General features: G+C 42.9%; 1 protein-coding gene across 55 annotated transcripts in view, besides 1 other annotated feature; it reads right to left on the bottom strand.

Moving 5' to 3' along the window:
* RALGPS1 (Ral GEF with PH domain and SH3 binding motif 1) overlaps positions 1 to 27,655 on the bottom strand; it is a 308,385-nt gene that overhangs the window by 142,328 nt on the left and 138,402 nt on the right. For all 55 annotated transcript variants that reach the window (XM_011519233.2, XM_047424120.1, NM_001322321.2 and 52 more), the window contains one exon: positions 11,483 to 11,609. In XM_011519233.2, the coding sequence (XP_011517535.1) occupies positions 11,483 to 11,609 (127 nt within the window). The remainder of the gene's footprint in view (positions 1 to 11,482; positions 11,610 to 27,655) is intronic.
* Positions 13,136 to 13,636: an enhancer, noted in NCBI's record as "H3K27ac hESC enhancer chr9:129829482-129829982 (GRCh37/hg19 assembly coordinates)". NCBI's record gives its function as "activates a minimal SCP1, AML or CMV promoter by ChIP-STARR-seq in naive H9 embryonic stem cells {active_cell/tissue: H9 hESC(naive)}" and the evidence as "EXISTENCE:reporter gene assay evidence [ECO:0000049][PMID:30033119]".

Below are 27,655 nucleotides of genomic sequence, written 5' to 3'. Positions count from 1 at the left end.
CAATATTCCAGTGAGGCTTTTCTTTGAGCATCATGTTGACTCTCAAAATGTTTTAGATTTTGGATTTTCAGATTAGGGATATTCAACTTGTATATGTAAAAGGGAAAAACTAGAAACAGTCTAAATATTTATCAGTTGGGACACAGCTAGACAAATCAGCACTCATCCAGGCGATATCCAACACGTTGCCCATACATCTGTGGGTGTCAAAGAGCTACCAGAAAGAACAGGGGAGTTCTAGATTTGCTGCCACTGTACAATATCTATGATAGTTTATATGTGCAAAACAACACATATAAAATGTTCCCACTTTGGTTAAAAAGCACAATATCATATGTGCCCCTCCACAGGCATGTCCTTTTGTATTTGTGGATAAGAATGTCTGGAAGAACACATACCCACTGCAAACACTGGCTGCCTCTGGAAAGTGGGAGAAGAAGAATGGCACATTCACTTTTTACTTTATAAACTTCTTTTCAGTGTGAATAATTTTTACAACAAGCAATGTGTTACTTTTGTAATATTTAAGTTTTTAAAAGAATGAGTGGGCACCAAATGCCTTTCTGGATGGTCACAAAAAAGGATATATCTTTGTTTCCCTTGAGTACTCAGGAGCCCACTGTATACTCCATCAGGGAACAACAGGCTTCCTAAGGGTAACATTCCAGGCCCTCTCAGACCCTAATCAGTCATCCCCAGGCACCCATCTTTCTCATAGAACTGCAAGAACTCATCACCTCTCAAAGCAGCAACCACTTTCTCTAGCCTATCGAATCCCCCCACCTCAAAACTAGCTTTCGAGAGGAGTCCAGCACGTCCTGTTGCCCTAGAGGCCAGTGTTGTAGTCCTTTATGTGTTGAGTTTTACAGTTGATTTTGTCCCAGTACAGATTGGTCAACAAAGTAATAAATGTGGAGTAGTGATAAAGGTTGTGCAATGTGCTCGTTATCCATTGCTGTGTGACAAATTATTCTGAAACTTAGCATCTTACAATAAACATTTATTGTCTTGCAGTTTCTGTGGATTGGGAATTTGGGCATGTCTTAGCTGGGTGTCTCTGGTTTAAGGTCTGTGATGAGACTTCAGTCAAGCTATTGGCTGGGGCTGCAGTCTCATCTGAAGGCTCGCCTTTTTAGCAGAATCTTCTTCCAAACTCCCTCACATGGTTGTTGGCAGGTCTCAATCCCGTGCCACACGGGCCTCTTCACACGACTGCCAAACACAGAGCAGCTGGATTCCTCCAGGATGAATGATCCAAAAGAGAGTAGAAAGGGCAAGCACTCAACATAAAGGGATAGTCTTTAATGATCTAATCTTGGAAGGGACATCCCATTATTTCTGTCATATTTGTTAGAAGCAAATCACTATGTTCTGCCTACACTCAAGGGGAAGAGATTATACAAGGATACAAATACTAGGGAACAGAAATCATCGGGGGCCATCTGAAGAGCTGTCTACTACATGAAACATCCCAATGGCTCCAGGTTGGTCTTGAGGATGCAGAAGCTCCCCAGTCTTTCCTTTGTCCCAATCCTTTTCTTTATTAGGGCCAGCCCAGGTACAAGAGGACAATAAGAATGCGTCAGTAGAAGACCAGTGTCCACTCAATCCACTCTGTCCCCACCCATGAGTCAATGTGCTTCTCCAGGACCTCCCACCAGGAAGTCTCCTTGTTCCACACAGGAAGAGTCCCTAGAAGTACTTTCCTTCTCAGGTGTGGTTTTACCCAGAGGTTAAAGGCCTGTTCTGGTGAACACATGGCATATTTTGAGGTTAGTGGTTGGGGCACTGGAGTCAGACCTGGATACAAGCACTGATCTCACCATTTACTAGTGTGTAAACTTTAATGTGAATCTTGTTCATATTTTGCAGCTAGCAAATAAGACAAAAATAATGCCTCCCTCAGAGGAAGGAGTGTTGAGAGGATTAAATGAGATAATGCAGTGCAATCACATAGTAAAACAGTAAACATGAGTTTTTGTAATTAGTGTTAGTTTCTAATTCGAAATCCAAAAAACTAAAGGAAGTCAAAGAGGAATAGTCATCCTAATGAGTATAAAGATTCCTACCATGAAAACACTTTTTCTTGCACAAAATGGGCTTATGCTCATACCTCGTTTTGCAGGGTCAGACACAACTTCTTGACCCAGAGAAAAGCTGACTGCAGATCCTCCCTTTGCCCCAGAAGGGACAAATGGGACAAGGTTCTCCCGCTCTGGGCAGCAAAGCATTCGGAAAACAAGACTTTCCACCTAGTGCTCCTTTCTTGGCCCCCACATGTTTTCCTTCTACTGTTTATTTCCATGGAGACGGAGATATTAAAAGGAGGATGCGTAAGTTAAGGCTGGGTGGAACCTCAGCAGTAAGCATGAGATCTTGAGTTAAACTTGGTATCCGCCTGGGATATGATGTTGGGTAAGTCATGAGTCAAGCTATGTTTTTTTTCTTCATTCATAAAATGGGTTTTAATAACATCCACTGGCCTTTTGTAACAAATGAGAAAGACTACAGAGTCCCAGAAAAAATGTGAATTTTAAGGTAACAAATCCGGAGATTGCAAAAGTAAAGGCAATCTCTTCCCTTCTGGAAGGGAGAGATTTGAAACAAAATGTAGCTAACCACTCTTCAAAATCATGGAAATAGTTTCCTTCATTTTGGATGGGATAGCGTCTTTGAGATCATTCTGTTGACTGGGAAGTATGTTTGAGCCTGGGGTCGAGGGAAGCTTTTCCTTGCTTGCTGGATCCCAGAGAGGGTTGAATGCCTAGATTTAGGGAAGGGGAGATTTGTTCAAAGGCTTCCTGGGCTGGGGGTGGGGAGGGCAGCAAGTTGGCCCCTGTAGCATGTGGCCATCAGGGCAGAATAGAAAAAGGAACAAGGTCTATTGCTCCATGGGCAGGCAGACCAGAATCCAGCCTTAAGCTTTGCTTTGTGGACTGACAGATACCTCCTTTTCCAGCTAAGGAAGCAGCCTGGTTCCACACAGGTCCAACTGGGAAATGCAGGAGGGGACCAGCGGGAGGGCTCAGAAGTCTGGGGCCAGGCAGCTGGCTGAGGCACCAAGCAACAACCAGGATGGATCTGTGGAACAAATGAGTGCTCCTTGGGGAACCTTGGAAACGTGGGGAGGGGAAATGAAAAAAAGGCTGGATTTCCTGCATGTGGAATGGAATTTTTTCAGTTGGGCATTAAAAGCTGGCCAACCTAGGGACAGCCAGTTAACATTATTGCTAATCCTGACAAGGGAACTACTGCACCTTGGTCCTAGGGTGGTGGCCCCCATCAAGGGGGCAACGGCCACCACTCATATCCCTGTTCAGGGAAGCAGCAGCTCTGCCGCATCCTTGGCTTGATCCCACCCTTGCTTGCTCTTTCCTCTCTGCTTTAAGGGGTCCCACAGCTGAAACGCACAAATGGATTCTCAAAACCAGAGTACAAGGACATGCTATGTGTCTTCATCAGGTATAAGGGATATACTCTCTGACAACTGTTTTAGGTCTCTCCAAGGCTTTGCTCTAAAATGAACTGCTTTTAAAGAGCCTTCCCCCTCCCTGGAAATTTCTGAAATACAGTGACTCATCACAGGCTTCTACAGGATCCCCTAACTGGCCTTCACTCCTCCAGCCTGACCTCCTCAAAGCCACTTGCTGCAGCCAAGGTGAGGTGTGTTCAATGCAAATCCAACCCAGCATGCCCTTGCTTAAAACCCTTTCATGGCTCCCTCCTGCTTCTAGGTTGGTCAGAGCCTGGGCTCCCCACTCCCTCCTGACTCCCATGTCTAGGCCCTAAGCAATCTTCCCCTCCCTTCCACTGCAGCTGCTCCACATGACACCTTCCCCCTCATTCACTACTCTCCGGCCAGTTTTTCTAACAAACATGTTTTTCCTCACTTTAGGGTTCTTGCACAAGCTGTCATCTTCGTGTAAAATGCTCACTTCCCACCTCTTCACCCAGCTTATTCATCCTTCAGGACTCTACTTCCCTCCAGAAAGCCCTTCCTGGTTCCCCCAGACTAGCTGGGGCCCCCTTGGTTTGCTCCTTTGCCTTTTCCTTCAAAATGCTCAGCTCACTTGCAGTTTCTTGTCCAGTGCTGGTGATCACAACTGGACTGTGAGCTCCATGAGGGCAGGGGTGGTGTCTGACTGGGAGGCTTTGGGGCATCAGAGTAAACACTTTTTTTGACCAATGATCACTTCTTTTTGAAAGCCCTTTTAGATATCCAACAGTTTAGCCCTGTTGATTTTATATTTGGAAAAATTTGTCTTGATTTTAAACTTTAGAATTTATATTTGCAAATAAAGTCTTACTTTTTGAAAAATGGAAAGGTTTGCTTGTTTGAAGGAATAACTTACGTTCTAGAAATTTACTTCACATGTTAGAAGTCTGGGTAAATTTACTAAGAATGTCTCCAAATGTTTTCTTACTATCCAGAAGTGTTAGAATACCTAATTTTTGTTCCTTGAGAGATCATAATTTTCCACACTGCTATGGTTACTTTTAGAATCAGCTCTAAACCATTTAAGATCCATCACATTTCTAATTTAGTTATTTCCTGAAGGAAATAAGTAGTAAGAACAAAACACCCCCTAAATCAATACAGCTATTTATAAGCAAATGATGTAGACATTCTTCAAAGCTCTTTGCTTGCTTTTGTTATCATTCCAATCTAACCGGGTATTTGCAAGGAGCTGCTATCAGATAAAATCAGCTGCAAATAATTGAACTATTTCTCAACACTGTTTTCACACTTTGAAGTAATCTGCAAGAAACTTTTTGATTCAAAGAGTCTTATTTTATAAATGTAATACATTTTTCCCTCAGTATTTTTAAAATTATGTTTCATCAGGAACTCACTACACCAAAGTACAGCCAACTGGCTCTACAATTTGCATTAAAAGGAGTCAGAATCACACCCATGTGGTTAGTAACAAAGGCTAGTACTACATAAAGGCATCTTTACATGGAACAAAGAGACACATATGTGAATAGTCACAGGAGACCAGTTAGCATATAGAATCTTCCACAGAGGGTTAAAAGAATTGTTACAAAAATAAAGCCCATAATTGCTATTAGAGACAAATAACTGCTGAAGCAGCATTCACGGTCTCAAGCAACAGAAGTAACAAAGCAGCTTGAAGTATCAGGGACTGACCTACAGTTCCTCCCAGAAAAACAGCCTCCTCTCACCCCAAGGGGGAAAAGACCTATAGTGAGGACTTTGCCAGAGAAAAAACAAATGGTTTCAGATATTTTTTCCTATGTTGTACTTTCCAGGAATTATATAACTATTCCTCTTTAAATAAACAAATCTGTCCCTGGGACAGGTTGCATTTTTGAGAAGAATACACAACCTGGATTTGGGTAGGGTATGTCCAAGGCAACCAGACATGCATGCAGGTGGAACTCCCAGCTGCCTCAGGAGGTCTTGCTTCATTCTTTTTTAAGCAAACTACGGCACCCCATGGTAAACCCTCATACACTATCCCAAGAACAGAGAGCAGGTGGCAGTCACCTCCTCTTCTCTCCCTCTGACTTGTATATGTCAGATGCAACATAAGAAATGTAGTCCACCTGGTTTAAAGGGAGAGGAAAATAATCATAAGGCTGAAGGGATAAGACCACAGCAGTTCAGCTGGACTCGCTTAGAGTCAGAAGCAGGAAGAATGCAGGAGGATGGAGGCCTCCATGGAGCCTCTTGGGAAGCACCTGCCAGGAAGCAGCAGCTGAGATGAGGTGATCAAGGACATGGGGGGCTGCATCTGTCTAGAAACTCTGAGGGGCAAGAGGCCTGAAGGCTGGCACAGGCTGACCAATGCCCTTGGAAGCCCAAGACTGCACTGCTTTGTGGTCCCACAATAGGGAATGTCACAAGAAACAGGAGCAATAATTTATACCCTTCACACAGTGCCTGATGGGGGCCACCCACAAGTCATAAATAGCCAGAGGACACAGGTGGTAACCACAAGGGTGTGTAGGAAAATAATAACCTGAATAGGGTGGGGAATCAGGAGAGGGCAGTGTCAAGAGCTTAGGGCTTATAGCCAGGCCATCTGGGCCCAGTCCTGGCTCTGTTACTTTCCAGTTATGTGACCTTAGGCAACCTCTCACTGCCTGCTTATTCACTGGGCTATTGTGCGCATTCAGTGAAATGATGCATTCAAATGCCTAGCAAAGTGCTAGGCACAGAGAAAGCAAACAATGCACAGCAGCTCTCATGATCATCCTTATTCGAGAAAAGAGGCCATCCTTAATGACCCTGGAACACCTCTGCTAGTGGAACCCGTGGGCTGCACTAGGCTACCCTCACGGTAGTACCATCAACGTTGTCTCTCAATTGATGAGCCTCAGGTGTGATGGAAATGGACTTGGGAGCTCTGCACAGCAACATGCCTTCCATCTGCAGACCTGAGATGGGGATTTGCCAGTAACCAAGTAGAAAGACACTGCAGTTTATGGTAAGCCAAAGAAGAAAACAAGGAAAGATGCAAAAGCATGAAAAAAAGAAATAAATAGAATTCAATCTATGGCATAAGGTGAAACAAATATGAAAGTGGTATATTCCCCTACTAAAAGGCAAGGCTTCTCATGCACGGTCCAACTAAATGCTGTTTGCAAGAATCATGACTAAATCAAGGCAACTTAAAATATTAAAATCTCGGCCAGGCACCATGGCTCATGCCTGTAATCCCAGAACTTTGGGAGGCTGAGGCAGGCAGATCACCTGAGGTCAGGAGTTCGAGACCAGCCTGGCCAACATGGTGAAACCCCGTCTCTACCAAAAATACAAAACTTAGCGGGGCATGGTGGCAGGCACCTGTAATCCCAGCTACTCGGAAGGCTGAGGAAGGAGAATTGCTTGAACCCGGGAGGCAGAGGTTGCAGTGAGCCGAGACGGCGCCACTGCACTCCAGCCTGGGCAACAAGGGTGAAACTGAGTCTCAAAAAAATAATAATAATAAAATAAAAAATTAAAATCTAAACTATAGCCAAAGATTTATAAAATAAATGCAAATGAATCAAAACCACAATGAGATATCGTCTTGGGCCAGCCACAATGGTTATTATTAAAAAGACAAAAAATAACATGCTGGCAAGAATGTGGAGAAAAGGGAACTACACACTGTTGGTGGGAATGTATGTTAGTACAGCCACTGCAGAAAACAGTATAGCGATTGCTTGAAAAACTAAAAATAGAGCTACCATACAATCCAGCAATCCCACTGGGTATTTATCCAAAGGAAAAGAAACCAGTACTGTACTTGTATGTTTATTGCAGCAGTATTCACCTTACCCAAGATATGGAATAAACCTAAGTGTTTATCAGCAGATAAATGGATAAAGAAAATATTATACACACACACACACACACACAGACACACACACACACACACAATGGTGTACTACTTGGCCATAAAAAGAATGAAATCCTGTCATTTGCAGCAATATGGATGCAGCTGGAGGTCACTATGTTAAGTGAAATAAGCCAGGCACAGAAAGACAACTATCACATGTTCTCACTCATATGTGCTAGCTAAAAAAGCTGATCTTATGGAGGCAGAGAGTAGAATGATAGATACCAGAGGCTGGGAAGTGTGTGTGGGTGGGAAGGAGGAATAAAGAGAGGTTGGTTAATGGATACAAACATAGTTAGAGAGAAGGTATAAGTTCCAATGTTCAATAGCAGAGTAGGGTGATTATGGTTAACACTGTATTGTGTATTTTGAAGTAGCTAAAAGAGAGGACATGAAATGTTCCCAACACACAGAAATGATGAATACTCAAGGTGCTGGATACCCCCAAATACCCTGACTTGATTATTATACATTCTATGAATGTAACAAAATACCACGTGACCCTTAAATATGTAAAATATTATCTATCAATACAAATAATGTCTTCACTTGGCAAAAAAATCCAAATGAAAAATAAAATAGATGTCACACAATTAATATCAGACAATAGAAGTAAAAGCAAGTAACAAATGGAACCAAGATAACTTTGTACGGAGTACTTCACAATGAATCTACAACTGTTACAAATTTCTATATATTAAATATGTAAGGCAGAAACTACTAGAAATATAAGGGGACTGTAACATATATTTCTTTCTGGATAGACCAAGTTGTCAAAAATTTATAATTTGAACATTACAACGCAATTATAGATTAATTTGAGACATTACACCTTCTTTTCCAGCATGCACCATGAAACATGTATAAAAACCGATCTTACATTAAGCCACAAAACAAATCTCAAAAATTAGAGAAAACTATGTTTTTAAAAACCTAAGCCATTCATAGAAGCATTACTCATAATAGTCAAAGAATGGACACAATTCAAATGTTTATCAAATAAATGGATATCGGGAGGCCAAGGCAGGCAGATTGCTTGAGCTCAGGGATTTGAGACCAGCCTAGGCAACATGGCGAAACCTCGTCTCTACAAAAAATACAAAAAAATTAGCTGGACGTGGTGGCGTGCACCTGTAGTCCCAGCTACTTGGGAGGCTGAGGCGGGAGGATCACTTCAACCCAGGAGTTTCAGGCTGCAGTGAGCCAAGATCATGCTACTGCACTCCAGCCTGGGCAAAAGAGCCAGACCCTGTCTAAAAAAACAAATGGATAAATTAAACGTGGTGCATCGGTACAATGGAATATTATTTGGCAATAAGAAGGAATGAAGTACTACTCATGCTCTAGCATGGATGAACCTTGAAAACATGATGCTATGAGAAAGAAGCCAGTCATAAAGACAGCATATTGTATGATTGGATTTATATGAAATTTCTAGAATAGGAAAATGTGTGGAGACACAAAGTAGATTAATAGTTGCCTAAGGCTGAAGGTGGGAGAGGAGGGTTAGCTAGAGGGAAATGCGAATGACTGCTCATGGGCGTGGGGTTTCTTTATGGAGTGATAAAAATGCTTTAAAACTGATCATGGTGATGGTTTGCACAACTGTGATTATTACTAAAAACCAGTGAATTGTACACTTTAAATGGATTATGTATTAATTATATTTCAGTAAACTGTTTTAAAAATAAAAACAAAAGCCTAAGCCCTTGAAAATGAAAAAAACACTGTCTTAAATAATATTTGCATAAAAGAAAAATTAAAACTATAGGGAGTATTTAAAGAATATCACTGAGACTATTACACACCAAAACACGTAGGATGCAACAAAAGCAGTAATTAGAGGAAAATGTATAGCCTTAACTGTTTTCTATATTAAAGTGAAAAAAAAACATATACACAAATAAACCAGTAATTCAACTCTAGTAGTTAACAGAAATGGTGAAACAACTTAAGGAAAACAGGAGAGATGAATCATAAGAGACAAACATGGAAAGTCCATATTTCATTATGTTTAAGATGTCACCTTTTATCAGGTGTGTCTTTTTTTATGTATCACTAAGAAAAACTGCTGCCAATTAAAAAATGTCACAATGCTTTGTTATCAATTGCAAGATGTATCCCAATTTCAGAAGTGTTAAAATGTGGAAAGAAAATGCACATCCTTGATTGATAAAATACAGTAAACTAAAAAGCAGAAAGACAGTGTGACTGAAAACAAATCCAAAATTTAATCTTTGGAAAGACCAATAGACAAACCTCTGGCAAGGAGGTAAATTTTAAAAAAGAAAGAAAACAAAAAATACAAAGTATGAGAAATACTAAACTATTAGAAATACTAAAGCAAATATAACCATATATATATATATATATGTTTGCTTTAGTATTTTTTAGTTTTAGTATATTTTTAGTTATACTTGCTTTAGTATTTAGTGTATATATATATAGAGAGAGAGAGAGAGATTCAAATTTATAAGAGAATATTATATTGTCAAAAAATTAAATAAGAAAAAAACTATGCTAGTAATATTGAAAATCTGGAACAAATGGACAATTTTCTACTAAAAAACAAATTTTCCAAGTTGGCTTTAAAAGAATTAAATATTCTAATTAATTTTTAATTAAAAGAAAGAAAATCTAAATAAACAATGCTCATGAAAGAAATTTTAAAATTGTCAAAAATGTAACTTCAAAAAATTGCACTAGATCCCTTGCAAATATCAGGAGTCACTTCTACATAATGTTGGTTTCCCTTGTTATTAGAATTATTTTAGATCATAAAAGATCAAAAGATTTTTTCATAAAACTGGCAAAACCCTGACATCCAAACTACAAGAAGTATTTTTCACCTATCAAATTGGCAAAGACAAAAAAGAAAGAAAGAAAAAGGAAAAGGAAAACCATGAAAAAGCATAGTATTTGTAATGTGGGAGAAACAGGCAATTTCATCCCCTTCTGATGAAAGTACAAATTGACACAACTTCTCTGGAGTGCATTTTGGAAATATACATGAAAAGGCATACGTTTTTGCATACGTTTTGAAGCTGTGCACACTTCTAGGAATTTATCACAAGGTAATAATCATAACTACATGTAGAAAGTTTTTGCAATAAGGACGTTCATTGAGACATTTTAATAGCAAAAATGTAGAAATACCTTAAATCAGGGGTTCCCAACTCCTTATTAGGAACTGGGCCATACAGCAAGAGGTGAGCGATGGGCTAGCAAGCATTACTGCCTGAGCTCCACCCACTGTCAGATCAGTGGCAGCATTAGATTCTCATAGGAGCGCGAACCCTACTGTGAACTGCACATGTGAGGGATCCAGGTTGTGTGCTCCTCCTCAGAGTAATCATCTGAGGTGGAACAGCTTCATCCTGAAACCACTCTCCTAAGCCCACTCTCCATCCGTGGAAAAACTGTCTTCCAGGAAACTGGTCCCTGGTGCCAAAAAGGTTGAGGGCTGCTGCCTTAAATGGTCAATATTGGAGAGCAGATTCGAGTTTGACAAATCCATCTGATGGGAATGAGTCATAGCATCGAAAAGTAGATAAAATTTTTAAGATAAAAATAACATTTTTAGGATAGAGTAAGCATACATATTTTAGATATGCCCAAATCAATAAGATATGAAGCAAATATCTTTAGGTGAGATAACAAAAGATATTAACTTTTTTCTCTAATTCCTTACAATTAACATGCATTATTTTCTAACCAGAAAAATAAACATTACTATAATTTTATTTGTACAAATATGAAATATACTAATAATGCCCAGAGAACCAGAACAGAGGGTTTGTGCCTGACATGCCCCAGTTCAGGAGGATGTGGATGAACCAGTACGAGTCTTATCACTCTCATTGTGACCCATCTGGGCTGCAGCCTGGGGAACCCTGGGGCCCACAGGTCTTTTATATAAAAAGCAGAACATCACTTGTATATCACCCTAATCCAGGTTTCCAACCTTGGGAAGTACCAACAGCCTGTTCCAACCCAAAGAGCCAACCAATTGCCTCTTTATCTACGGGCCATGTCGCTTCCTGGAAATTTTTCAGGTAGAAACTGTAAAAACATCTTATTTGGCACCGAGTAGGTTTCTTAAAAAAAAATAAGCCAATTCAAACTCCTACCTAGATAGGGAATACTTGGAACCATCTTCAGGCTTCGGATATATTCCCGTGTCCGCTTGTAATTATCTTCTTTCGACATCAGGTAGTCCAATTTCTCAAAGGTAGTCTTGTCTTTTCGATTTAAAAGCTAGAATGAGAAGAAAATATAGCAAAATAAGTAAACCAGAAGAAGCTAAAGAGTGGATAACTGTGGATGAAGACTAAAAGGGAAAATCCTAAGTGACATATCTATGGTGTGCCGAATCCTGGACAGAACTAAGGATTTTAAAAGGCTGTTTCGTGCATATGAAGAAGGAGGCAGGACTCGACTCCAGAGGTGGGGCTTGGACACTGGACCAAATTGAGGACTAGCTAAAACAGGGACGAGGCAGAAGCAGCTTTCTATAAGACACGTCCACCAGTGTGCCACGTCAGTTTACCATTGCCATAGCAGCACCTGGATGTTACCACCCCTTTCCATGGCAATGGCCTGAAAGTTACCACCCTTTTTCTAGAAATTTCTGCATAATCTGCACCTTGATTTGCATGTAACTAAAAACATATATAAATATGACCTGCCTCTGAGCTGCTACTCTGGGCACAATGCCTATGGGATAAGCCCCATACCACAAGAAGCAACATCTCTGCTGCTGCTGCTATACAGTGCCACTTCAATAAAAGCTGTTGTCTAACACCACCAGCTCACCCTTGAATTCTCTCCTGGGCAAAGCCAAGAACCCTCCAGGGCTAAGCACCAATTTTAGGGTTTGCCTTCCCTACATCACAGAGATGGAAAGCTTCAATCTTGTCATTGTCACAGAATCTCACACTTGGAAGTTATCCCCCAAAGCGACCTGGCCCACTGTTCTACATGATGTCAGAATCCCCCACATAACAGCAATTTGTGGGTGCAGAGAGCCTACAACAGCAAGGTGCTGAGGTAGAAAAGCAGACTGCTCAGGGTCACCTGAAGAGTTATTTCACAGCTACACCAGGTCTCTTTCCCTGCATCCACAGCTATTTGCTCTCCTCACCATCTCCAGGGCTGAAAGTCCCAGTAAGTTCCACACAATTCACATGCCCATGTATACAAAGCCAAGCCACCACTCGAATCCAGGCTATATCCTCCAGATCCCCTACAGTCAACTGTGTCATATTTACACTGGGTGTGGTAATTTTAATCAAAAGAAGATAACCTTCTTTTCTACATGCAGTCATCGAAGGGGCAACTTAGTTAAGCAAATACAGGATGAACAGGTATCCCTAGTCAGAGATTAGAGAAGCAAATCCTTTGTGACTGAGATCTCTGGTATGTAAATGGCGGCTCAATGTGCATTTGAAGCCTTCTCAAAAGAAAGGAACAGAAACCAGAACTCCTGGTTTTCAAGACTTTATGCTAAGGACTCAGGCTGTGGTTAACCTGAAAGTCCCAAGTCAAGGCCCAGTGCCAGAAAATGGCAACATGGCTGACTAAACGTGGCTTTAAGGAAAGAAGTCTAGGCAGAAAGGCCAGGCTTAAAAGGAGGAGTTCGGGGAGGGGTGGCTGAGGCAAAGCATGAGGCTGATGCTGGCAGCACCTGTGAGTCTAGCTGCCAGGGCCTAGTGCTTCTGGGATTGGAGGTCAATGGCTAAGCCCAAGAGCATGAATAAACAGAAGCCCCAGGGTTGGAGTCCCTTTGGCCAAGTTCTTCAGACCTTGATGCTCTGTGCAAGAACCTAGAACAAGAGACCCACCATGTCCATCAGACTGACGTAGGCCAGTGTTCAAAAGCCCCATTGTGCAATGGAGAGGAGTGGGAAAATGACTGCCTAGCACCTGGGGAAGCAGTGCAGTTCCTGAGACCTGGTCTGCAATTCCCAAACTCAGGCCATGTCTGGTGCATTAGGGAGCCCTGGGCTGCTTTGGGCAGGCCCTGCCTGGTTCCTTCATCTTCAGCCTCTGGGACCACAGAGGATGCAGCCATAAGACAGCCCACTTGCACAGGAGCAGTGATAGCTTACGAACTTCGGTAAGGAGAGGCAGAAGAATATGCTGAAAGGAAGGTTCTGGTGCTGAAGAAGTTGAAGAATAAAAGTGAACTTTTCTTTTCCCACTAGGGAATTCAGGACATCTCAGTGTGGGGATGCTACACAGATGCTCAGGACAATGGCTGCTTAACTGGTCTGCTAAAATGGACAGGGAAAAACACCATCTTCTACTTGCTGTTTGTAAGACACTGTAATATATAACTCATCTAATCTTCACAAAGCCCAGTGGTAAAAATGGAGCAAGGACTTTTACCTCCATTTCCAGTTCATAATCACAAGTATTAAGTAACTTTTCCAAATATCTTTGGGGAACTTGATTCAACACAGGAGAGAGATATAGTATAGCAATGTGGTAAGTAAACAGAGACTGATAACCCAGACAAATAATAAATGAGCTACTTGGGAGACTGAAGCAGGAAGATTGCTTAAGTCCAGGAGGTTGAGGCTGTAGTGAGTCTGTAGTGAGTCTTGATTGCGCCACCGTACTCCAGCCTGGGTGACAGAGCAAGACCCTGTCTGTAAAATAATTATTATTATTATAAATGAATTATGGGAAAAGGAAGTGTCAAGGAAAGCTATATAGAGAGGCAGCATTTGAAATGAACACTTAAGGATGAGAAATTTGCCAATGAACAATATATACTCAGACCAGAACCACATACCTACTGGAAAACAGCTCCATTGTGGTTTGTTTTGTTTTGTCTTTGTGGAGACGGAGTCTCACTCTGTCTCCCAGACTGGAAAGGAGTGGTGCAATCTCAGCTCACTGCAACCCCTGACTCCTGGGTTCAAGCAATTATCGTGTCTCAGCCTCCCAAGTAGCTAGGATTACAGGCATATGACACCAAGCCCAGCTAATTTTTGTATTTCTAGTAGAGACGGGGTTTCACCATGTTGGCCAGTCCAGTCTCGAACTCCTGATCTCAGCTGATCCGCCAGCCTTGGCCTCCCAAAGTGTTGGGATTACAGGCATGAGCCACCATGCCCGGCCAAAGAACTGCTCCGTTGTTAAGCCGACCACTCACGCCCCTTATTCAGGAGGTCATTCTTTATTAATACAACCTAGAACCCCTTACTTGTTTGGCAATGCCAGCCATTAAACAAATCTGGATGTCCTCCTCACACACACTGTGCCTGGGCCAAGCTGGCTCCCAGGGCTCAGGCCACTGGTTCTCTGGTCTCAGCTGGGGGACTGCCCATGTTCCCTGCCATGCCCAGCCTACCTGCCCAGCCTGTCAAGTGCCTGTATGGACAGCACCTCAGAGCTGATCAGCCTATCTTCTATGCCTCATCCCCAACTTGCCCCACACACTCACACAGACATTCAGAAGGGCTAAATCTAGTTAACTTTACTCATCTGCTCCCTTCTGTGCCTACAAATGAGACTCAGACAGTATCAGATTTCTCAAGAATAGTGCATAAGTCACTAGAAGACATCAGAAAACCCTAAACATGTATTTCCGATGATGTATTTGAAAACTGAGAATTTCCTCTAGATAAATGCAGGAATAAGCCAGGAATTAGTAAGACATGGGAAACAGGAAATTGTGGATCCAATCCAGGAGTAGCAAAGGGAGATTCCAGGATGACCAATGAATAGCAGGCCTTAAGAACAACTGGTGCACACTGGATCAGCCCTGGAAGAGATGTCCCCAGAGAAAAAGAAGGCTTGATTAAAAACCTGACATGATGGCACATGGAGGGGAGGGGATAGACATATTTATTATATATAATAAAAAATAAACATAAAATAATTTTAGGATTACTTAGATATCTGGTAGATAGGATAAGAAAAAGTTTTTTAAGGCAATTAGAAATTCCAGAAAAATAGGTAGGGCATGGTAGCTTACAACTATCATTTCACTACTTTGGGAGGCCAGGAGTTTGATACCAGCCTGGGCAACATAGCAAGATGTCATTTCTACAAAAATATTTTAAGGCCGGGCACAGTGGCTCACGCCTGTAATCCCAGCAATTTGGGAGGTTGAGGTGGGCAGATCATGAGGTCAGGAGTCTGAGACCAGCCTGACCAACATGGTGAAACCCCATCTTTACTAAAAATACAAAAATTAGCCAGGCCTGGTGGTGTGCGCCTGTAATCCCAGCTACTCAGAAGGCTGAGGCAGGAGAATTCCTTGAACCCGGGATGCGAAGGTTGCAGTGAGCCAAGGGTGGGCCACTGCATTCTAGTCTAGGCCACAGAGTGAGACTCTGTCTCAAAAAAATAATAATAATTAAAAAAATTAGCTGGGCATGGTGGTGCACACTTGTAGTCCCAGCTATTCAGGAGGCTGTGGCGGGAGGATTGCTTGAGCCCAGGAGTTCAAGGTTGCAGTGAGCTATGAGCTATTACACTCCAGCCTGGGCAATAGAAAGACCCAAAACAAAAAAACAAAAAACAAACAAACAAAACCAAACAAACCAAAACAAAACAAGAACAAAACAAACAAAACCAAAACCAAAAACAAAACAAAAAAATAAATAAATCCAGGGAAATGACAAAATATTCAAGGAAGGACATGTTATTCATAGTTTACTACTTGACTATATAGTGACGCATATTTACTCATTCCTAATCATTAAAACACCAAATATTCATTTAACAAAAGTGATTTCACTATAATGATGAATGTGTTTGAGGAACAAGGGAAGGTGGTTCAGGAAAACTAAACCAACATCTACCATACAAAGAAGTCACCAGATGCTGTCTAAAGCAGATGGGTCAAGAAACTGTAGCAAAAGCACATTGGTAAGTATATGGCAGAAACTACTAGAAGAAGCCAATAAACTGAAAGTGGTTGCCTCTGGGGAATAATTGGGGTGTGGAGAGATGAGTGACGAATGTTAGTTGTTTCACTAAACCTTTCAGTACTTAGTGATTTTTAAAATTCACGTGCATGTAATGCTGATAATAAGTTTTTTAGGTTTAATTTTTTAAATATAGGGTTTGTTTACTCAGAAAATAACAGCATTTACTCACATGTTTTAAGCTTTCATTACAAGAACTATAAACTGCAAACCTCATCTGAACTTGAGGGTCCCTTAGATTTTGGAGTTTATGGGAAGCCTCAGGAAGAAACCATCAGAACTACATAGAAGAAAGTAAATTGTCTGCTTACCCAGAGTCAAACAGATACTAAAACCATTCTTGTTCAAGAAAAGAGATAAGAAAGTAAGGTTAAAGAACATTTCACTAAGTCTAGCTTCACTTCTAGTAAAGTTTAGAAGTCTTGGGGCACCCTGGGATTTTCTTCCATAATACTGATCATGATTGTGCTTGCCTGTATGATAACATTTCTGTCTCCCTCAACAAATTATGGACTCCAGGAGGAGGCTGACCATGCTGGCTGCATCCACTCTACTGTTCCCTGCATCTGGTATGATTCCTGACACAGAGGAAACACTGCCAAAATATTTGCTGCATAAAAGAATAATGAGAAAAATAACAATAATAACTGAAAAACCCAATTACTTGGAAAATTTTGAATATTCAAATAATTCTTGGGCAAAAGACCAAATAAAAGCCAAGATAATGGACTATTTACAAGCCGTACATAATTAGAATACTATACGTTAAACTATGTGATGAGGCCAAAAGCACATTAGGAGGAAAATTTGTGGCTTTAAACTCATTTATTATTAAACAAGAACTAATATAAATGAACTAAATATTCAACTCAACAAGCTAAGAAAATAGTGGGAAAACTGGAGAAAGAAATCAATGACAAAATTGGCATGTTAAAAAACAAACCATCAAACTAAAAAAAGCTAAATATCAAACCTATAGAAATGATAACTAAATCTAAGAGCTAATTTTTATAAAATATCAATAAAATAGGTAAAATTTCTAATAAAAAGCAAAAATATACAACATAGGACTGAGAAAGGGGCTATAACCACATATGCAAAATGAATTAATTTATAAGGTAAAAACAAAGTCCCTGCTTATTAATTTTGAATCATTTTCATGGTAGAAAGGGTAAATGGGACTCACAAACCACGAGGTCAAAAGCCAGGAAGGTCACAAATCTTGGAGAAATATCTGAAGAAGTGGGTGGCTTTTGGAAATTTCCCATCATGCTCTGAGTACCTTGTATGTGGCACTTGTATTTGACTGATCATACCACCACTCCCCTTTCTAGTAAAGCAGTTCAAATCTGGAAGTTGTCTCCATGGAGGAGAAAAAAATTTCTCCAAATTTTCTTTATGAGGACTTTGGTGTCTTGTTCCCTTGCCTCGAGAGAATAATATTTCTTGATACATGGAAATATTTTTTAGCAAAGAGACTGTTGCTCCAAATATGTTAAAATTGGCTCAAAATTCCATTTCAATTCCAGTGTCTACTGTTGATATGCAAAGAATTTTTAGTGTTGTGGATAATCTATGGACCAATGGATTCAGCAGACTAAGGTATGGAATCAGTAAGGAAATGAACTGGAATTTTTAAAATAATTTTTTACTTCTCTGGATGCAAAATACCCATTTCTGAAAAATAAAAAACTACAAAGTCACATACCTAATATAAAATATTAGATGCAATGGAGACTATCGCATGTAACACAAGGAAAAACTGTAACTGAAATTTAGTGGTGTGCTGGCTAGCTGTCCATGTTTGTCTTTGACTAAAGCTATTTTAAACCCTGTACAGACAGAAGTTAATTTGTAGAAAATGTAGTAATATAAATAATTCCTGTCTACGGAAAGGCAAATTATGCCTCATAAAATGCTACTGATTATCACCATGGGAATACTGACTAATTTCATACCAATTTTAAATGTGATTTTAGCCTTCCTTACCTGATTATAAAAGTGTAGTACTCTAGCTTCTCTTTTGATACGGTTGTAATATCTTACTGGTTCTCTCTTAATCAATGAGTTAAATAAAACCTTTGACAAGTATTCATCTTATATTTGTATGAGTCATGATTTTATCTTTTTAAAAAATCATCCTTGGCCGGGCGCGGCAGCTCACACCTCTAATCCCAGCACTTTGGGAGGCTGAGGTGGGTGGATCACAAGGTCAGGAGATCGAGACCATCCTGGCAAACACGGTGAAACCCCGTCTCTACTAAAAAATACAAAAAATTAGCCGGGCATGGTGGTGGGCGCCTGTAGTCCCAGCTACTTGAGAGGCTGAGGCAAGAGAATGGTGTGAACCTGGGAGGCGGAGCTTGCAGTGAGTCAAGATCGCGCCACTGCACTCCAGCCTGGGTGACAGAGCGAGACTCCGTCTCAAAACAAAAAAAAACAACAAAAAAATCCTTAAACAGTTACACACACACACATATACATACATGTATCCAATCACATGCATATGCACATACATACACAATCCTGTAGGATAATTTTCTCATTTATTTCTAATAATGTTGTTAATTTTTTTATTCCAACCATGGCAACCCAGCAGATATTCCCACAAAGACCCAAGAGTAGAGAGCTGGGAGGTTGAGATCGATCCCCTGATATAAGTTTGCCAAGGGCCCATTCAGGGTCCAGATCTGGTCTGGCGGTGGGCAGAGAGTCAGGCACCAAATATACATCTCATTTGTTCAACCTGGTTTAGCAAGGAAGAATCAGGAACACTACATAGGAAAGGGCTCTCTAGGGGAAGAACAAACTCTATTACCCAAAGAAGGAACTGCAGGAAGAGGTAGTCCTGAAAACAAGTCTAGAGGGATTTCAACAAGCACAGATGGGGCTGGAGAGGACCCGAGGCCACAAAAGGCATGAGCACGGGCCTGGAGGTGGGCATACAAGGGATGTTCAAGGAAACAGTAGTTTGGCTAAAGTGGAGGTAAGTGTTGCTTTGCGTAAGACTAGAAAAGACTGGAGAGATGGAAACTCACCTTTGGACAAAGTGTGGTTTTGACTTGGCCATTTGGATGCCATAGGCATGTGAACACCATTTTGACTGCTTATTCTACTTTTCCAGATACTTCAGCTCAACTTGCAAACAGGGTACCAATCACAAACTGCTAAGCATGAACAGCAAATCGAAAAGAATGAGTTGATTATGGCCATGTTTTAACAGAAAATTCCTCAGGCCAACTCTAGCATCTCTTGCACACATGACTTGGGGCTCTGAGTTGCTGTGCTGCTGGTGGTAGCAGATGCACTGCTGGCCACAGCTGAAAGGTGTATGGTTTGTTTTTTAGGGTCAGGAAGTAGGTATGAAATCTTCTGGTGTTTGCTGCCAATGTCAAAATGCGTCTATTATGTCCTCAGCACTCTGCAAGACACTCAGCAGCCACCAGCTTTCATCATGTGCCACATCCCTAGATGCAAGTCTCTCTCAGAAACACTCACGAGGACAGACCAATTCTCTCTCTCATTCTAGCTCAGTCTCTTTCCTTCACTCAGAGGCATCACTGAAATACAGGGTTGGAAATCCACATGATGGTTAAAGACTGGCTGACAAAATATTATTATCATAAAACTGAAGGTGAAATAAATGCTCAAATGGCAGATCAAAAAGAAAAACTGGTGTCGGAATGGTTGTATCTGAGCACAATGCTGCTCTGAAGGAGCGATGGCACACAGCCCCCATCCTAGCAAGGTGGACGAGGGGTTGAGGGAGAACACTAAAAACTATCTTTAACCAGGGATGTGAAAACCTTGAAGGTATGTTTTGGAGAGATCACTCCAGTAACGGTGTGAGGGTGGCCCAGAGACAGCAAGTCCCAAAGCAATGGGACCAGCTGAAAGAGGATGACAGTTCAGGCCATAAGTAAAAGGCCCTGTCATACAAGGATGGAAGCCTCTGCCAACCCATTCGAGAATAGTCAAGAAGAGTTGAAAATATTAATAACAACAACAACAACAACAACAACAACAACAACAGGTAATACTTACCAACCCCTCAATATGAGTCAGGCATAGTTCTAAACATTTTTTCATGTATTTACTCATTTAATCCTCATTGTAAGAGGTAAGCCCAGGGCTCAACCCAGGTGTCTGATTTAAGAGGCTATGCTCTCAATCTCCATGCCCCTCATTTCTTGGTCTGAGGTCCCCACACAAATGCAGGTCATATGTAACATGTATTCAGATCCCTTCGCTGCATGAGGTTCAGGCTAGGGTGACAATTTCTCACAGATGAGTTTTTCCACTCATGCTCCCTTGGGGCTCTCCTAGGCTGGAGAGGGACTTTTTGATGCAGCAATACCTGACGTGTCTCTCTGATTTCTACGGGTAGCTGAATTACAGCCCCCCATGTGTGGGCAGCCGGACTCTCCTCTCTGTGCAGGCATTACAACCCTAGCTCCCAGCTGCAAAGGCTTATACACAGCAGTTTCTCTGAACTCTGCTCACTGTTTTGACTCTGAGAGCACTTTATTTTTAACACATGGTGACTTCCCTTTCTTGGCTTCTAATTTAGCTTTGCTTGTTGGTTTTTTAATTTGGTTGTATTTTATCCAGAACTTGTGTTTGTGTGTTTGAAGCAGGAGACTGGGAGGGAGAGGCTTATTTCTCAGTCTACCATACTGCCTAAGAGCCTAAAACACAGTCTGTTAAGAGAGTCTTCTGGCACTCACCATCATCTTCCTGGAAACCAAAGTTTGATTTCAGACATGCCAAGTGTGAGCTGTCAAAGGAACATGCAAGCAGAGGGATCTATGCAGCAGACAGCTGGAACAGGGTTCTAGGGTGCAGGAGAGAGATCAGGGCTATAACTGAAAAGCCAGCCATCACTGGGGTACAGGAGGTGACACTTGAAGCTCCCCAAGCAGATGAGACCACCAAGGGATAGCAAATGGATCAGGGAAGGTGGAGAGGTCACAGCCTTGCAGAACATCCACATCCATAGCAACAAAAGAAGTCAAGAGGAAGAAAATTAAGCCAAGGGAAAAGAGATTTTTCAAGAAGGGAGTTATGAACAGTGTCCATTGTTGTAGCAATGTCAAGGAAGATGAGGGTGCAAATGTCAGCAGATTTGACTGAGATCTTCTGAGAAGCAGTTCCAAGCCAGGCTATGAGGAATGATGAGGATGTGTGAGTGAGGGCTACAAATGTTGGTTTCCTCTGCATCTATCTCCTTATCGCCTCATCTGACTCACCTCCCACCTGACCAAATGCTCAGAAATGCCTCCAAAAAGCAGCTCAGGCCTATCACCACCTTCTCAACAACATCAGAGGGTGGCTACTGAGGCACTGCATCAGTCAAAGGGGGCAAAGGGCACTTCCTGGATGAAAGACTTTGAACTCCAAAGTATCTGAATGTCATACATCTGCCGTCCTGTGATATTTGCAAAGTGGCCTTAGTTCTTTTGGTACAAGGAGCAATTCTCTGAATTGCAGAGCTCAATGACTGTGTCCCCAGATATCTAGGAGTAAGAGCCCCACTCCCAGGATAGTTCCCCTCCCAGGTCACCACCCTCCAGACCAGGTCTCCTGACCCATCAGCTATGATTTCCTGCCTGCCAAGAATTTCAATTTTCACAATGCTGCTGCAAATGAGTCAAACTCTTTGGATCAATTCAGTAGGAAAGAGCAAATCACTCTGGGAACATGCACAGAGCAAGAAGAGAATGTACGTATGTGTGCACACGTGTGGGGTATGTGTGTGTTTATGTACATGCGCACACGTGGCATGTCTAGCACCTGACTGTAATTACTATAATGAGTGACTCATCCATATGCTAGGAATTCCATACCCTTAGATCACTCACAAAGCAGTCAGTCTCCTCTTGAGATCACTCTAATCAAAGAAAAGGTTTCATTAGCTTCTCAGTTGCTCAGGCCCAAAACCTAGGACTCACCCCTCATTCTCTTCTCTTCATCTCGACATCTCATCCAGCACACAATCTGTCAGCTCTCCCCAACATATCCGATATCAGCCTGCTGTTCTCATATCCCCAGCCATACCCTGATCCTGCCAACATCCCCTTGCTCCTGAATTCTGCCCTAACCTGCTGAGTAGGCCCCCAGTTTCCACTCTTGGTCCCCATCCCCCACCCAGTTTGTTTTCCACACAGTAGCAACAGTAATTAAAAACACAAAAACCAAAGAGCAACTGGAAGCCAGATTGTGTCCGCCTCCTGTTTAAAATCCTTCAGTGCACTTGGAATAGAATCTAACTCCTCTCTCAGGCTTTGAGCCCTACATGATTGGCCCCGCTGCCCAGTCACTGCCTCTCACATCCATCTCCTCCTGGCACGCTGAGCTCTGGCCACACTGACCTCTGAGTTCCTTGCTCACAGCAAGCTGATTCCTGTGCAGGGCTTTGCACCAGCCATCTCCTCTGCCTGGAACACTCATCCCCTCATCTTGGCACGACTGGTTCTTTTTTGTCATTCAGGCCTTGACTGAAAGTACATGGCCTGAATCTACGTTAGGCCTGTACTTTAGCATGACACTAGGGAAGCAAGGCCTTCTCTAACACCACACTAAAGCAGACACTCAGTCATTCTCTGTCATGTATTCTGCATCGCTTTTCTTCCAATTTGACAGCTCTTTGCTGATCACTTCATGTATTCAATAAACATTTATTGATCACTTCTTGTGCCAGCCAGACTAGGCACATGTTTATTCTCCCCAACATGAAAGCCCATGAGGACAGGGGCCTTGACTATGGCTTCAGGGCCTGACATTTGAGAAATGTTTGATTTGCAGAATGAATAACAGCCACACGGTGATGTGTACTCAGGAAATCAGAAATGGCTGCTACAACTTCTTGCTTAGGTTTCATGGCTTTAAGGGAGCCAATATTCCAAAGTGGTCCCAGTGCTGGGATAAATCATTACCCATCTGCATTTTTCCAGGCCAGCTATGGTAGTCTTCCTGTTTGTGTATGCAGATGGCATTTATTAAGGGCCTACTGTGTACAGGCCTATGTTCAGTGTCAGTCGGTCCTGTGCAGCTCACCCAGCAGCTAGCACTTAGCAGCCACCCATGGAGAGGCCAACAGGACGCCCTGCCCTAGCTTAATGGCCAATTCTCTGGAAGTCATCCGTGATGCAGCCAAGTGGCAGGTATCCTCCCACACCTGTAACTCCCTTCCACCAGGTTTCCCAGATATTCAGGCTTTCAGTGCAACCCACAGGGATGGCACAGAGAGCTGGCCTGCCCTGTCCCCAGGCCCTGTGTGCTAGCTGCATTTCTCTAGCCCCATTTCCCAAGCAGTGTAGGTGTCTATTTGTCCCTGCCCTGTGCCCAGCCTGATTCTCTCACAGGTTCTTGCCATTAGCAAGCCATCCAGCATACCCGCCAAGAAGACGGACTGTGGATTCCAGCAGGACAAGGCTGTGTCATGCTGGTTCTGTCACTCACCAGCTCTGGATCTTGAACAAGTCATTCTATCTCTTCAAACCTCAGTTTCCTCCTCTACAAAACAAAAACTATCATAGCACTGACCTTTGGGGATGTTATGGCTGGTTCTTCCAATGCCACCTGCACCTCCCTACTCTGTGGCACATGAGGTCTCCCCAGTCCCAACTCAAAGGACAAGTGAGCAGAGAGGAAACAGCTCTCTTTGGGCAACATTTCTATGGCCATCTCATACCAGAAATTAACAGCAAAAGAAGGATGCAATGCAACTCAGGACAACACATACAATTCAAACAACAAATGTATAGTGGCTGGGCACCAAGGATACAGAGAAAAATCAACATCATCGATGAGGAATGCAGTCAAAAGGGGGAGGCAGACCTATAAACAAAACTGCAGAGTCGGTGCATGCTCCACCCTGCGTGCTGTTACCAGACAGGTGCATCAAGAATACAGACAGTGGAGTCTGCCATTCCACTGGGGCTGGGGGTGATTTGGATGAAAGAAAAAGATGATGAGTTTGGCCCCCTCTGTTTCCTAAATGTTCTATGCCAAATGTAGTCCTTGGATTAACAAGACATGTGAGTGAGTGAGAGGGGAGAGTCTGATCTAAAACAAAGGCTGAATAGTGGGTTCACCAAGAACAAGCAGCTACCCCACAAGTGACCTTGGAGACCTCATGCTGTAATCCACACAGTGTGTATCACCTCCTCTCTCCCTGACACAATACTGTGGCAGTTGCCATTCTTATTTCCTGGGATGCTGCATCTACCCACCTTTTGCTCTGGTAAGTGGCTCTCTGTAACCAGGGAAAGAGCCCTGGCTCAGCCCTTAGGACACAATAGGGAGGTTTCTCAGAATAGGAACAGGGACATGTTGTTTCCCTGAGTCCCCAGCAAGGTGACATGTAATCTTAGTTCCCTGGCATCTTCCTCTTCCCCACCAGCTAAATGCCAACTGAGGTGCAAAGACAGGAGCCAACCCAGGGAAGTAGAGGAGCAACAGAAGCCATGGTATAAACAATCAATCCAAGGAATCAGTGGCCAGAAGGCATTTGCAGGGCAGCCTTCAAAGTCCTGCTGCAGCTCTCTGGCTCATTGGCTGCACATCCCCTCCCTGACAGGCCCTCCTCTGACTGCTCTTTCTGCTGCACTCCAGCAACCAGGTGCCAGGCCAGCAGCAGCCACACCCAAGACAGAGACCCAAAGGCCTGGGAGGCACTGGTAGTCTACCAACCTTATTTTCAAGTTCCTAATGCAATACTTATGTTACAAAAGGGAAAACAAAAACAAAAATAAAAAAATAAGACCCCTCTCTTGTTTTGGCTGACAGGGAGTAAGCTGGAATTGTCTTTTTTGTTCAGTGGGGTATGGTGGTTAAGAGCATGGATTCTGGAGCCAGGCTGCTTAGGTTTGATCCTAGCCCTGCCACTTAGCTGTGGGACCCTGCATAAACCACTCTACCTTTCTGTGTCTGTTTCCTCATCTATAAATGACAATAGTAACAGTGCCTATCTCAATGGGTAGCTGTCAGAACAAAATGGTTAATATATGTAAAGTGTTTAGGGGCCAGGTATAAAAGCTGACACCTGTAATCCTAACAGTTTGGGAGGCTGAAGCAGGAGGACTGCTTGAGCCCAGAAGTTTGAGACCAGCCTGGGCAACATAGCAAGGCACCATCTCTACAGAAAACTTAAAAATTAGTTGGATGTGGTGGTATGGCCTGTAGTCCCAACTACTCAGGAGGCTGAGGTGGGAGGATTGCTTGAGCCCAAGAGGCTGAGGCTACAGTGAGCTGTGTTCAGGCCACTGCACTCCAGCTGGGTGACAGAGTGAGACCTTGTCAGACAGACAGACAGACAGACAGACAGATAGATAGATAGAAAAAGCATTTAGGGCAGTGCCTGCCACATGCTTTTATCTTGGCATATGTGTGAGGAAGAACACAACCCAGATGGCCTGGAAGGGAGCTAGGTGAATATGCCCACACCTTTGAATGGGTCCTGGGTGCAAATTCCATTCCAGGCTCCCCAAGGAGATTTCTTCTCTCTCTCTCTCTCTCTCTCTCTCTCTCTCTCTCTCTCTCTCAATCAATCTCTCTCTCTTTTTCAGAGATGGGGTCTTTGTCACCCAACCTGGAGGGCAGTGGCATAATCATAGTTCACTGCTGCCTTGAATTCCTGGGCTCAAGGGACCTTCCTGCCTCAGTCTCCTGCGTAGCTGTGACACAGGTGCACATTACCATGCCCAGCTAATTTTGTGAATATTTGCAGAGATGAGGTCTTGCTATGTTGTCTAGGCTGGTCTCAAACTCCTGGCCTTAAGCGATCCTCCCACCCCCAGCTTCCCAAAGTACTGGGATTACAGGAGTGAGTCACTGCACCTGGCCTGGAGGTTTATTTTCATTACAGCAAAGAACCATCAACAGGAGTGAAGACCCAGCCACCTTGAGTAGGGCCTGTCAAGCCAAACAGAGTGGTCCTGGATACTGCTGTGACCTGCTGCTGCCCACTGTCCTGGCAGTACACAGCATCCCCTGGAGGACACCATCGCTTCATCCATGGGCCTGGCCCTATCACTGAGTGGACCGTATCTCTGCGCAAGACCCTTAGACACCCAGCCCTCTGTATTAACTATCTCTGCCTCCACCAACTGTACAGCTTATAGGGATTGTTGAGAGTTACAATATTACTGACAGTAAAGTCTAGGCATCATGAGAAGATTCAAAAATCATCCTGCTGGGTCCTCACATAGCTCCCGGCAGTCCAAAAAACAATAACAGCATCTAAGTGATGGAAAATTCATTTGAAAAAGAATCTCCAAGCAACTTTTGAAAAAAAGCCTCACTGGTCAGATGGACTTGGAATCACAGGGCTGGCAGCAACTGCTAAGACCGGTGGCTTCCAAACTTGCTTTCGACCTCCAAAGCCATTGCTCAGTTGAAATTCACCCAGAAGTCCAGTACATAAAACTGATACAAACAGAGCTGCTCTGGTGGAAATAGTGCCCAAACTGCCTGCTTGGCAGCATCTCTCCACTCTCTCAGCCCCTGGCGGCACCCAAGGCAACTCTAAGGAACCCCTGGGACTCCACGAAGCACTGATGGAAAACCAAGAATCTAGGCCAACCTCCCCGAGTTGATATGAGAAAATAAGTCGCACAGAAGTCATGCTCTGAATGGCACCTGAATGCAAACCCAGTTTTCTGACACTGGGCTAAAACTTCTCACTCTACTTTGCGAGGACTAGATCTATGGAAACAGCAATTTAAAGAAACAAGGCTCATTTTCGATCACCTACAACATAATCCCTGAGTATTTTAAAAGCCCTTGAACCAGCCAAGTAGGAAACAGAGCCCAGCCCCACAGACTGGCAGAAAGCAGTTCGGAAATGAGTTGCAGAAGCACATCTGACAATTCCATACAGTTTTTGTCAGTTCCGTGGGATATAAACAGGTCTTAAAAGGCTTGCGCTGTGTGGCTGTGAGAGACCCCAGATCAGGCAGGCCAGGAGGTGAATGCTAATGAGCTATGGAAATAGCAATTACTTCCCCCATGTCAGGCACTATGCCAAGCGAAGGAGCATAAAGAGGTCTGAGATATTTTTAAAGTATTTTTACAGCAGAAAAACTTTCCTACAGACTCAATTATGTAACTATCAGACTCCACCTCTGAGCTGAAATTATCCAGGGCCTTAGGAAAAAAATCCGTTTTTTCCTACACGGGGGTCACAGGTTTCTCCAGAGAAACTTAGCGGTATGGCTAGTGACCCAGGGCAGCTGCGAACCATCAGCCCAGAGACCTTCCCAAGGACAGTTTGGAGCCTGCCAGAGAAAAATTCCAGCCAAGTGGAGGGCAGAAGTCATGCCGCTGACCCGGTCATCACTCATGACATCGTGGTGT

Source organism: Homo sapiens, chromosome 9 (assembly GCF_000001405.40).
Source record: "Homo sapiens chromosome 9, GRCh38.p14 Primary Assembly".
Classification (NCBI taxonomy): Eukaryota; Metazoa; Chordata; class Mammalia; order Primates; family Hominidae; genus Homo; species Homo sapiens.
Note: the sequence above shows the minus strand (reverse complement) of the source record. Positions and strands in the feature narration are given on the sequence as shown.